The sequence below is a fragment of the Homo sapiens genome, chromosome 19 (assembly GCF_000001405.40).
Source record: "Homo sapiens chromosome 19, GRCh38.p14 Primary Assembly".
In the NCBI taxonomy this organism is placed as follows: Eukaryota; Metazoa; Chordata; class Mammalia; order Primates; family Hominidae; genus Homo; species Homo sapiens.
Genome location: NC_000019.10, coordinates 31020734 through 31032397, shown reverse-complemented (window position 1 = coordinate 31032397; position 11664 = coordinate 31020734). Strand labels below are relative to the sequence as shown.

The 11664-nt window shown below is 37.0% G+C and overlaps 1 long non-coding RNA gene across 1 annotated transcript; it reads right to left on the bottom strand.

Annotated features, from left to right (window-relative positions):
* Positions 1-2123: 2123 nt before the first annotated feature.
* On the bottom strand, positions 2124-9041 carry LOC105372355 (uncharacterized). Its single transcript, XR_935898.2, has 2 exons — positions 8922-9041; positions 2124-2234 (listed from the first exon to the last, which is right to left on the bottom strand). It is a non-coding gene; the product is annotated as an uncharacterized LOC105372355 (long non-coding RNA).
* Positions 9042-11664: the final 2623 nt, after the last annotated feature.

Here is an 11664-nt window from a genome sequence, read left to right as displayed (position 1 = left end):
AGTTCAGATCCAAGAAAGTTCCAGCCTGGTCAAGGTGAGACTTGGAGCCAAATTTCCTGTTAGAGAAACCTCATGTCCTGTAAAAACGGGACTGCATGTGTATCCCTGAGAGCTGCCTGAGGCTCAGGTGGCCTTGGAGGGAACGCAGTGGGGGACCCAGAGAGGCCACTGGTGATGCTGTCACCCACTGTGCTCCCATGCAGCGAGTTTTCATGGCTGACACATAGGACCACTTAGTCCATTCAGTGATCACAAATATTTAAATATCCGATTATTTCTCGCCTCCTTATTTAATCTTTTCCGTTTACTATGATTTTTTGTTTGTTTGTATTGCTTCCTTTCATTTTATTGGGTTAAGTTTTCCTTGTTCAATTTCATCACAAAAGTGATTTAGCAGTTAGACAACTTATTTTTTTTATTATACTTTAGGTTCTAGGGTACATGTGCAGAACATGCAGGTTTGTTACATAGGTATACATGTGCCATGTTGGTTTGCTGCACCCATCAATGCGTCACTTACATTAGGTATTTCTCCTAATGCTATTCTTCCCCCAGACCCCCACCCCATAACAGGCCCCAGTGTGTGATGTTCCCTGCCCTGTGTCCAAGTATTCTCATTGTTCAATTCCCACCTATGAGTAAGAACATGCGGTGTTTGGCTTTCTGTCCTTGTGATAGTTTGCTGAGAATGATGGTTTCCAGCTTCATCCATGTCCCTGCAAAGGACATGAACTCATCCTTTTTTATGGCTGCATAGTATTCCATGGTGTATATGTGCCACGTTTTCTTAATCCAGTCTATAATTGATGGACATTTGGGTTGGTTCCAAGTCTTTACAATTGTGAATAGTGCTGCAATAAACATACGTGTGCATGTGTCTTTATAGTAGCATGATTTATAATACTTTGGATATATACCCAGTAATGGGATCGCTGGGTCAAATGGTATTTCTAGTTCTAGATCCTTGAGGAATCGCCACACTGTCTTCCACAGTGGTTGAACTAATTTACAGTCCCACCAACAGTGTAAAAGTGTTCCTATTTCTCCACATCCTCTCCAGCACCTGTTGTTTCTGACTTTTTAATGATTGCCATTCTAACTGGAGTGAGATGACTTATTTATATTATTAATCCAGCCACATACTTTTAACAAAAAATCAAAAGACTACATCTCCATGGCTGAATAACTGAACAGTTCAGAAGACTTCACTCTTATCACCAAATCACAGCCTAATTTACCAGAAATAAACCATTTTATAAATCTGATCACTATTGTGATACCTGTAAATTACCATTTTCGAATTCTTGGATGTAGACATTGTCTACTAACTTCTTTGTTGGATTGGATTTTTTGCTCAATTGCAATATATTATGTTTCTATATCCTTCCTCCCGTTTACTTTTGTCACTCATCTTACCAGTTTTTCTATTGTTCATCTCTGAGCTCATAGCAAACACATATACAGTACTATTCTAAGTGCTTTACATATATTAAGCACTATTCTAAGTGCTTTACATATATTAAGCAACTTGAAGAAGATACTGCTAATATCCCCATTTTACAGATTGGGAAATGGGAGCATAGAAAGATTACGTAATGTGCCCAAGGTCACATGGCTAATAAATGGCAGAGCTGACATTCAAACCCAGGCAGTCTGGTTTCAGAATCCCTCTCTTAGATGCTACATCATTTCTTATTAGCTCAACTGTAGATTCTTAATTCCAACTTTGTAAAATGAAGGTATTAGTACTCTGAACCTCTTCAATTTTCACCTCCCAACCTCTTTCAAATGTACCTCTTTTATTTTGTCAAGATTCATCACATTTACATTTTGCACTGTAATAAGTTATACGTTCCGTGATTTGTCTATGGGGTGATTTTACAAGTCAAAGGCTGATCAATGTCTTTCCATTATTATGATTATATAAAAGTTGCTGACAGCAGAACAAAGTAGAATATTAAGATGCAATTCTTTCACCAGGAGTCCAACATCATGACCCCTAAGCCACTCACACAGGGAAGAATGTACCCACAGTCAAGTTTCAATTAATTCTGAAAAGCAAAACAAAACAAACCCTGGCAACCAGCTTCACTAGTCGTCTTGAGCATATTCCCCAGTTTTTCCAGTGTCTCAGTCATTCCACATAACCCTCCAATTTTCGTTTCCTCTGCAGCCACCATCTTTCCATCTGCGTCTGAACCGGGTGCTCTCTGGGCTTGGGAGTTGCAGTGATCCTGAAATAGAACATCCACCATTTCTTAGTTTGGATCCACTGTTATCTGGAGTCCACATCTCTTTCTTTCTTGGTTTACTCCACGTTGCTACAGTCATCAAATGACTTCCAAAGTAAAAGTGTCTTTGAGGTGTTTCTGGAGTCCATGCAGCCTGAAAATATCTTTATTATTCTCTCTCACTTGGCTCAGATTCCCTAACCACACTCCCAGAACTTTAAAAGTCTTGCCCTGTTTTTGTTTTTGTTTGCACCCAGTATAAAGTATTAGATACATGATGCCAGGCTAATGCTTGCTCCTTTGTAAAGGACGTTTTATTTCACTTTCTGAATGTTTTGACATTTTATTATCCTAAGTATACTGATATGGTATGTCTAAATGTAGATATATTTTTATTTATTGTACAAAGTACTTTAAAAACTCAGCTCTGGAAAACATATTATATTTTTAATTGTATTCCTTCTGTGTTATCAATTCCCCATTTCTAGAAGTAGTCAGAAGGCATAGCTTTAGGTTTGATCCACCATGCCTTTATTTTACTTTTTTCTTTTTGAAATGAGTTTTGAGTAAACTCGACTTTTTTGTGTGGACATTTATAAAAAGCATTATTAATGACACATATATAGATTCATGTAGCCATCATCAGTTTTAGCAAAATTGACTTTTTTGTGTGTGCACACTTCTAAGAAAGTTAACATATATATATATAGATATAGATTCATGTAGCCACCACAAATTTTTAGTAAAATTGACTTTTTGTGTGTGTGTGCTCATTTCTTAAAAAATTAACACATATATATATTTCTGTAACTATCACTACCATACATGTACAGAACAGTATCACACACAAAACAATCTCCCTTGTTGCTTTTCTTTCTAGTCACATCAGTCTCTCAGTCCTCATTCCTGGGAACCACTGAACTCTATCACTGTAGTTTTGAATTTTTGTGACTGTCGTATAAATAAAATTGTATAGTACGCAGCCTTTTGAAACTGGCTTCTTTCACTCAGCATAATGCCTTTGAAAGCCATTAATCTTTTTACATTGATTCCTTTATATTGCTGAATAGTATTCCACTGTGTGGCTGTATCATGGTTTGTGTTTTCATTTACAAATTGAATAACATTTGATTTGCTTCCAGTTTTTGGTGATTGTGAATACAGTTGCTATAAACTTGCTTACAAGTTTTTACATAAATGTAAGTTTGATTTCTCTACAGTAAATGTTGAGATGTTAAATTGGTGGGTCATGTATCTCCAGAGTGGCTGTATCATTTTGGATACTCAATAGCAATGTACAAACATTCTAGTGTAACTGGTGAACTTTCTCTGATATTGTCTGATACATAATTTATATAATATATTACATAATATATGTTATATTACATGTTATAACATATATAATATGTATTATACATTATAATGTATAGTACAAAATGTATATAATATATAACATGTTATATATTATATATACAATATATAATATATACAATACTTTATATTGTATTATATATAATATTTTGTATAATACAATGTATATAATTCAATGTATATATAATAGACATACAATATAGATTGCTGTATATATACAATATTATATTGTATATATTATATGTACATTATATGATATATTATATATTATATACACATTATATGATATAATGTATATATTGAACACATTGTATATATTGAATATATAATACATATTGTGTAGACATCATATATAAGTTGTATATATTATATATATTAGCTGTTCAAATAAATATGAAGTATTGTATGGCTGTGGCCATTTTCCTCATGAATGATGATGTCAAACATCTATTTATGTGCTTATTTGTTATCCATATATTCTCTTCAGTGAAGTGCCTTTTTAAGATTTTTGTTCACTTGAAAGATTGAGTACTTATCTTACTGTCAAATTTTAAGAGTTATTTATATATTCTATATACAAGTTATTTATGGGATATGTGATTTTAAATATTTTCTTCCATTTTGTAGCTTATATTTTCACTCTCTCAGTAGTGTCTTTCTTGGAGTAAAAGTTTTAATTTTGATCATGTCCAATTTTTCTGGTTTTTTTATGGAGTATAGTTAAGATTCCATATCTAAGAACTTGTTGCCTAACCCAAAGTCATGAAAACTTTCTCCTACATTGTCTGAACAATTTTTCAGATAAAAAAGATCAAATCAGAACATCTTTACTATTCCCTTTCAATGGAATAATTGCTTGGTTGGATATAAATGTCTGGATTCGAAATTCTTTTTGTGCAAAATCCCTGGACATTGTCCCACTGAATTCGTACCTGCAGTGAAGGATGATTTGGAACACCCTGGCAAATGATGTCAAGGCGAATCTGTAGACACAGTGAATCCAGTGCTCTTTTCCCTCCCCCACTTCCTAATCCAAGCTGCTGGCCTCTCCTAAAGCACAGGGCTGCTGGGTTCTATAGGATTCAGCTTGGTGGTGTGAGTATTTGGAATATCATAGACCTGGCAGGAAGCATAGATGCTAGACAAGCAACCAAACAGTAGCAACAGAGCTCCGGAGGAGGACAGGAATGTCCTGGGAGGGCTTGCCTATGGACATTCTTAAAGGACAAAGAGTAAGCTGCTGGTGAACTGTGACCTCCCTGAACTTACGGCTGGATATGTTTAAGGACATCAGAGAGCTAGCGATCTCTCTAGGTGCCTTAATGGCAGGTGACAGCTGCCTGGACTCCCCAGGCTTTCAGGGCCAGCATTCACCATGTCTTTTATCATCCACAGGATTCCTGCAACAGCCCAAGCTAAGTCAACTCTATAAACTCATAAATAATAATAATGTCCCATTTAAAAATGCCCAGAAACCTTAATGAAGAAGATTGAGCAGAATAATTAATATGCAAACCCAGTAAAAGAGACTGCTGGGTGAGATTGATGAATATCTTGATTTTTTTTTAAATGTGGAATTTAAGCAAATTAATTTTCAGTATAAAATACTTTCAGGGCTTTAAACATGAGTTTTGAACTAAAAAATAGTAAATAAATTAAATAAGCAATTTGTTACTATTAAGATTGAATTAATAGTAACACAGATCAAGATCAAGAGGTATTTGAAAGAACAGAGAAAAAAGTAAAAAGAGATTATAAACTCGGTGGAAAAAAATAAGGTTAGTGGATAAATCTAGGAGGTCTAACATGAATGAAATAAGTTATGGGAAAAGAAAAAGCAGATATACAAGAGGCATTCATTAAACACAAAATAGAATGAATATGTAAATTCCCTGAACTGAGAAATATCTGCACATTTAAAGTACTTAAACAGATTGGACTAAATTGATGAGAAAACACATATACCCACAAACATATATCTAGACTTATGTGATAAGATTCTTGGATTTTACAGAAAAATAAATATGTATTCATGCTTTGAAGTAGAAAGCACAAATTAGAGACATTAGACTTTTCATCTGCAATACTGGATGCTAGAAGACAGTGGAACTGTGTCTACAGATATGTAAGAGAAAAGATCTACAAACTGAAACTTCTATGCCCACTGAATAGATCATAAATATAATTGTGTGAAAGAAATGTACTCAAGAATTTAGAAAGTACATCACCTAAGTATCTCATCTGAGGAGAATACCTATAAAAAAGAGTTTAATGAAAAAATTAAGATGGACAAGATGAAAGAAAGAAGAAAGAGTAGTGGATAGCCCAGGAATTCAAGGCCAGCATGGGCATCATGGCAAGATCCTGTTTCTACAAAAATACAAAAAAAAATTATATGTGTGTGGTGGCACATGCCAGTAGTCCTAGCTACTCGGAGGCTGAGATGGAAGGATTACTTTAGCCTGGGAGGTAGAGGCTGCAGTGAGCCATGATCATGTAATTGTACTCCAGCCGAGTGCAGAAGAGCAAGAGTCCATCTCAAAAATAAAAAATAAAAATGAATAAAAAGAGTAGTGATCAGTGAACCTGACTAATATATGAAACATAAAATATTCAACACACACATGCACATATATGGAAGTTTAATTATATTTAGAAATACACAAAGGGAAAGGCACACAAATTAACAGAAATTTTAATAGGTAAACTAGTTCAATAAATTCTACCATACAGCAATAGGTAGAGAGGAGGGAAGGAAAAAATAATATCAAAGATCATGTAAGAAGCAATAAGAAGGCATAGAGCATGGGAAGGGTTGGGGGACATCAAAGTGTTCTACAGCTCTCATTAAGGAATTGTGAGGTAGGAGGAAATTAAGACATTGTAATGGAAGTGCATCTTGATGGGGAAAAATTGCTAATTTACTATAAAATAATAGTTAAGTAATATGTGTATGAATAAAGGAACAAGAAGGAAATTCGCTATGAATGTAAAAGAAAGTACTGTAGAACTTCTTAATAGGAAAGGCAAAAGTGAAATGAACAGAAACATGATCAAACAAGCAACATAAGGAAAGGGGATGCCACAGCATGCAAGCAGCAATTAACACAGAGTTAGATGGAGGAGCTGAAATCATGTGTATTAGTGCCTGCCCTAAATGAAAATGGACTAATGCCCTAAATGAATATTCCAGCAATTGCTGGAGTAAATGAAGGCCAGCAACTCTCAGGGTTAAAAAACAATAGCCATCTGTGGCCAGGCACGGTGGTTCATGCCTGTAATCCAAGCACTTTCGGAGACTGAGGCAGGCAGATCACAAGGTCAGGAGATCAAGACCATCCTGGCTAACACAGTGAAATCCTGTCTCTACTAAGAATACAAAAAATTAGCTGGGCATGGTGGTGGGTGCCTGTAGTCCCAGCTACTCAGGAGGCTGAGGCAGGAGAATGGCGTGAACCCAGGAGGCGGAGCTTGCAGTGAGCTGAGATCGTGCCACTGCACTCCAGCCTGGGTGACAGAGCAAGACTCCATCTCAAAGAAAAAAAAAAAAAAAAAAAAAGGCCACCTGTTTGCTATTTGCTAAATCATACTTTAAACGAAATAATAAAGATTGAAAAATATGGGTGGGAAAGACTCAATATTTTCCAAGTGTTTTTCCCCAAGACACTCTCGAAGGAGAAGAAAGTGGTAAGAGGACTTATTTATTTATCTATCTGTAGCCAATATCACACTAGTTCTATAATAAGTCTTTGGTATCTTGAAGATCAACACAATAGAATGGAAAAGTCATAAATAAACATATTACTGAAGAGCAATGGGATAAAGTAGATTTTTAAATAAATGTCCCTAGACAATAAAGATATTCATATTTTTATAAACTTATATATTATTTATTGATTTATTTGAGACAGGATCTCACTGTGTCCCAGGCTGGAGTGAGTAGCATGATCATGGCTCACTGCAGCCTCAACCTCCTGGGCTCAAGTGATTCTCCCACCTCAGCCTCATGAGTGGCTGAGACCACAGGCATGCGCCACCAAACCTAGCTCATTTTTAAATTTTTTGTAGAGATGAGGGTCTCAAAAAGTTGCCCAGGCTGGAATCAAACTCCTGGCCCCAAATGATCCTCCCACCTCAAAGATATTTATATGGAAACAGAATTAAAATTGAATCCCTACCTCACACCACTGACAAAATAAACTGTATCTGGATTATAGAGCTAACTATGAAAAGCAAAACTACGAAGCTTTCAAAAAATAACATAGGAGCATATGTTAAGGTTTTGGTGCAGAAAAATATTTCTTAAACAGATACAAAATATACTAATGATAAAGAAGAGAAATTGATTAAATGTTACCACATTAAAATTAGGAAATTAAACATACCATACAGAACTTAGAAGAGACATTATGAAATGAGAAGCCACATTTGCAACACAAATTAGCAAATGATCTTTACCCAGAATATGCACAGAATTATTTCAAATATATATAGAAAAAAGACACATAGGCATACTCATTGTCACTCACATCTGTAATCCCAGCACTTTGGGTGGCTGAGGCAGGTGGATCACTTCTCCCCAGGAGTTCAAGTTCAGCCTAGGCAACATGGTGAAACCCCATCTCCACTAAAAATACAACAATTAGCTGAGCTTGGTGGTGTGTGCCTGTAGTCCCAGCTACTCAGGAGGCTGAGGTGCCTGGTTTGGGAGGTCATGGCTACAGTGAGCCATATTCTCATCACTGCACTCCAGCCTGGCACTGTAGTGAGACCCCATCTCAAAAAATATAAAAACAAAAATGAAATTTAAAAAGATAACCTAATAAAAAAGGAACAACGTATTTGAACAGAAACTTTATAGAGAAATCCCAATGAACAACAAACATATAAAAATTGATAACTACATTACTAATTGTGGAACTGTATAATATTATAAACACTTGGCATTTCCTCAGCCTCCCTCTACTACTTCTGGTGATCCCCTTCTACTAAGCCCCGACCAGAAGGTTTACTTTCCTTGGAGGGCATTTCATGGACTGAGCTGATAGACGTTCAGTTGTGAGTTGCATAGAGGGTGGGACAGGGGACAGGAGAGAATTTCCTGGAAGCTGCTCTAATTGCAGTCTTCTAACCTGGGCTTTAGGATTTCTTTGCATTTGTTTTTAGCTTCAGAGTAACTGTGGGGTGTGTGAAGCAGGATTCACCGTGTAAGCCCCAGTTTCTCTAGTAGATTCACTAGTCACTGGTTATTCTATCACTTGCACAAGTCTAGGGAGACAGAAGACTAACATAGCAAATTAATTAAAGCAACTTTATTACCTACAGATAGCCAGCAAGGGAAAATCCGTGTCTGGAATTCAAGGCGAGCCAGTCCCCTAGGGCTCAGGAAATCTGCTCCTGGGGCAGATGGAGTCTTATCTCAATGTCTCACATTACATTGCCCTGGAACTGACGGACCCCAAAAGGCTACTCTGCCCTGGGTTTTATACCCAGGCACAATTGAGTTTCTGGGCTAACGCGCTGAAGGACATCGTGTTCTAGGACGAACAGGAACAGCCCGCGCTCTGTTCTAGCCAGTTCCTCGTTATCTCAGGATGTTACATTCCCAGCACTTTCTATAGTTATTTTTGAGAACTACAAGTGAGAAAGGGGGAAGAGCTGGGTGAGCCAAGGCCATGTGGGGATTCATCCTGCACGCTGCTTATGATTTTTGGCTATAGATTCATCTACTCTTGTCACTCTAATCCCATCTGGTTTCTGTCTTCTAGGAATTCCTCACATGTTCTGGTCTGCTGATCCACATTTTCTTGTTTTGCACTGTCCATATGTACCTATTCTCTATTAATTTTGTTTTAAAATATTTTTCTATTATTTTTGGGAAGTTGGAACAGAGTGGTTTTTGTCCTTAGTCTGTTAGTTTAATTCATCTCTTATACAAAGGCTCACTTATTGAATAGTATCAGTAGTGCACTTGGGCCTTTCTCATACCCTGAATCTTTGGGTTTATTTTTCACTAGTCATTTTTATAAGTTTTTCATCTTCAATGCATTTTTTTAAAAAGGTGTCTTTATGTACAAGAGTAAGGAAACACAATAGAGTTTTTTGGTTAACATTACGTCTGTGTTTGTGTGTGTGTGTTTGTGTGTATAAATTATAAATTTCTTTTACTAATGAAATATGGAAGAATTTCCTCAACATCTTTGACAAGGATTCCTTTAAGGTATAACAGTAACTCAGGATCAGATTGGATGTGACTTTCAAAGCAATAAATATTTTTATTTTTCTGTGGCCAGAAAGAGGAAGAAGAGGGAGGCATTGTTCACTGGATGTTGGAGAAGAGATGAAAATAATAAAGGAGAAGGCAGTTTAACGGTGGGATGGAGACAAAAAAGAGCGCTGGACTCACCAGAAATTCAGGGGATCTTTGTCCTCCTCTCTCCTTCAGAAAGGAGAGAGATCCATCTGATAGGGAATAGGAAGAGTTGGACTCTCGCTGGTCAGTATTTTTCTATCAGGTGGGATTAATGTGTTAAAGAAACTGCCCTTATGTGATCTCTATAACCAGCCTCTCCTGAAAAATAGGTCACAATCCTCCATGCAGTAGGCTGGGTAAGAACTCGCAGGTTGTCAGCTTGAGGGGAACGCATCAGAATGCTGACTTTGGCTGCAGATTCAAGCTATGTTCTCCAACAGTTTAGCCGATATCTTCCTCCCTCACTGGAGCGTGTCTAAATTGACTCAAAACTTGCAGGCAAGAAAGTTACGAGTAAGTACTCCCTGCAAACCTGAAGTGTGCCCTAAAACACATAGTGGCCATTGAACTTGAGCAGCTGTGATTCCTGATACACACTTTGGGGTTATTTCCAGCTCCATGCAGCAGTGATCTTCCATTATCACCAAATGTGTAGTAACAGTCTATTACCTACTAATGACTTGAGTAAGAAATTCCTGGATAAATAAATGAGAAGAGAGGTGTCCACGAAAAGTGGTGGGGAAAGAGGGCAGGGCTGTAGGAAACAGATAGTAGAGGTGTCTGGGATGATGGGGAGAGATGGAAGGGAGTGACTAAAGCCATAGCAACAAGAAGGGAGGCACCCCTCCCTCACCTTAGAAAGCTACGAAAAGTCTTGGGGAATGCAATGGACTTTTTACAGCCAATTAGGTACCTATTTAAAAATGTTTTCTTGTTAAAGGCCAGATGGCGTGAGAAGATCAGAAGACTTTCGGCCATTTAGGTGACATGCAGAATCATCTGTACATTATTAATTTAAATAGGAATTTAAAAATCTATATTCAACATTATCCATGTGGTGTACCATATCAATGGAAAACAATGAACAATAAATAAGTAAAACCATACGATTATTTTTAAAATGAGTGAATGAATGAATGTCATGCACGTAAAAGCCAAAGAGTAACCACATCAAAAAGATAAATGTGGTTTTCTGTGTTCTCAATGAGGGAGGCCTCTGGAGGTGATTTAGAAATGTGGGTGGCGGTGGTGGTGAAGTTGGTTGCAAAAATGACAAGAAGCCATTACTGGCATTGGATGTCCAGGAACCAAAGATTTTAAACATCTTGCAATGCACGAGACAGTCTTCAGCAAGAAAGAAGTGTCTCACTCACAATGCTAGTAACCATCTTGGTGAAAAACACAGTTTAGGTGGGTTTCCCCCTCTACTTTTCTATATTTTCCAGATTGTTTTCATGAGTCTATTTCCCTTATTAAGATTAAATTATACCTATTCTATAATTTGACACTGTAAAATGAAATGATAAAATATAGATAAAGCAAAGATAATAACAATCACCCATATTCACGTTCTTGCTGCCAAGACATCCAGTGTTCACCTCTCAGTATACATTGCTTTAGAATTTGTGAGCCATGGATTGCAACGATGGTCCAGTTCTTCGCTCCTTTCCATCTCCTGTGTCCATGCACTCTGCTCTGTGACTTTGGAGTTCCTCTCATAAAGTTAGGGTGTTCTTCTTCACCCCATGTGACTTGCTTTGGCCAAAACCCACAGCAGAAGTGGTGGCATGTTAGTTACCCCATGCCTAG